Genomic DNA, 2,489 nt, shown 5'->3' with positions numbered 1-2,489 from the left:
GCTTCTGAAATCAAGCTGTGATACCAGTCTCTAAGTCTCATCATGTAAAGTGGTGGCCAGGTTCAGATTTTTAAAAATAAACTTAGGAGATTGGAAGGGATTGACTCAGAGGATCCTGGTTCCCAAAGAACACATAGAGAATTACTTGTAAATCGTAACCTCTGCTTTCCTCCCTTACTGGCAGGGCGTAGGGCATCGAAATTTTGGTTGTATTTGAGCTTATCTTCTTATAGGGGTGATGCTATTATACCTTCACGGAGAGAAATAAATTCTCATCCAGCTCTACAACTTTTCATTCAGCTTGAATTCCATATCCTAGGGAAGCAGTCTTGAGTTTCAAAGCAAACCAAGTTATATATATGGCCCTCCTCTAGGTAATTGGTTCTTTTTATTTTTTATTTTTTTTTTTTGAGACAGAGTTTCGCTCTTGTTGCCCAGGCTGGAGTGCAATGGCGTGATCTTGGCTCACTGCAACCTCCGCCTCCCGGTTTCAAGCGATTCTCCTGCCTCAGCCTCCCAAGTAGCTGGGATTACAGGCATGCGCCACCACGTCTGGCTAATTTTGTATTTTTAGTAGAGATGGGCTTTCTCCGTGTTGGTTAGGTTGGTCTCGAACTCCCGACCTCAGGTGATCCACCTGCCTCAGCCTGGGATTACAGGTGTGAGCCACCGTGCCCTTCTCTTTTTTTTTATACATGTGGAAATTATTATATGAACTTTGAATAACCAGGTAAACTTCTGCTTCTCTTTAGAATGTATGTTAATTTTCCAATTTTCTATTAGATTATTAAGTAATTTTTAATGTTCATCTCTAGTAATATTGTCCTTGTGAAAAGAAACTCCTTTTCCCAGTGTATTGGGCTGCTATAATGTGGCCCTCGAAGTTTGTTGTAGTAAAATAAGTGGTTTATATAAGTACCGAATAACTAAATAACACACACAGGTTTCCCTTTTATCTGCTTATCTTGTATTTTGGCGTACCAAAACGTTTTTCTCCTAAATATACAACTGTGCATGATAGTGGGCACCATGCAGGGTGAACAGTAATGCTGTTTGTCTGCATAGGACATTTTGGCTTTAGGAGATCTGCCTCCTTTTATTTATTTCATTGCCTGTCATGTCTCGCTTTGTTGCGTTTTGTTTTTGCTTTTGTTTTTGTTTTTTTTTAAGACGGAGTTTCACTCTTGTTGCCCAGGCTGGAGTGCAATGGCGCAACCTCGGCTCACCGCAACCTCTGCCTCCCGAGTTTGAGCGATTCTCCTGCCTCAGCCTCCCAAGTAGCTGGGATTACAGGCATGTGCCACCACACATGGCTAATTTTGTATTTTTAGTAGAGACGGGTTTTCTCCATGTTGGTCAGGCTGGTCTTGAACTTCTGACCTCAGGTGATCAGCCACCTCGTCCTGTTGGCGTTTTTTAACATTTTATTCATCCTAAAGCCCTCTAGTGTACAACTTTGGCTTTTTATCAAGGCATCCAGAAGCTTGCTTCTGCACAGTTCAGCTAAGTAATTCTAAACCAAAAAAGAGTAATTTTTAAAAATTATTATTTAGGCCGGGCGCGGCGGCTCAAGCCTATAATGCCAGCACGTTGGGAGGCTGAGGCAGGCGGATCACCTGAGGTCGGGAGCTCGAGACCAGCCTGACCAACACGGAGAAACCCCATCTCTACTAAAAATACAAAATTAGATGGGTGTGGTGGTACCTGCCTGTAATCCCAGCTACTCAGGAGGCCAAGGCAGGAGAATCCCTTGAACCTGGGAGGCGGAGGTCGCGGTGAAGCGAGATCACGCTGTCGCACTCCAGCTGGGCACCAAGAGCGAAACTCCGTCTCAAAAAAAAAAAAATTATTTAGACGCCCATTAGATCCGCAAAAACTAATTTTAAACAAAAGTGATTAGTTTCCCACATCTGGGGGATATGATCAATTAGAAAATGGCATGAGGAAGATAGCTTTGCCCAAGCTGGTGTTTCATTTTTGGTTTTTGAGACATTGCTCTATCACGCAGGGTGGAGTGCAGTGGGGCACCATCGTGGCTTTCTGCAGCCTTGACCTCTGGGGCTCAAGAGATCCTCCCACCTCAGCCTCCCGAATGGCTGGGCCCACAGCCACGTGCCACCACACCCAGCCAACGTTTTGATCTTTTGTAGCGACCGTCTCACTGCGTTGTTCAGGCTGCAAGCTGTTGTTTCAAACAGATGAAGTTGGAAAGTTCTTCAGCTTCTCCAGAGTTGTTTTTTTGAATCAAGGGGTTGTGGAGCCTACATGTAAATACAAGTGTGCCTTGAGTTAAATCTCCGGGAAGACTTAGAACGGCCGTGTTGCCAGAGCTCTCCTAGTTAGCCTGCAGGACTGTCTGAAGTCCGTGTCCGTCTGACATGTTACCGGAATTAACAAACCTAGGGACGGTGAGTGCTCCTTCATGTGGCTTTCTGGCTCTCTCACCTGCCACTCAGTGCCGCTGTGACTTAGCAGCCAGAGTTTTCAGG

This window comes from Homo sapiens, chromosome 17 (genome assembly GCF_000001405.40).
Source record: "Homo sapiens chromosome 17, GRCh38.p14 Primary Assembly".
NCBI lineage: Eukaryota > Metazoa > Chordata > Mammalia > Primates > Hominidae > Homo > Homo sapiens.
This window is presented reverse-complemented; position numbering follows the sequence as displayed.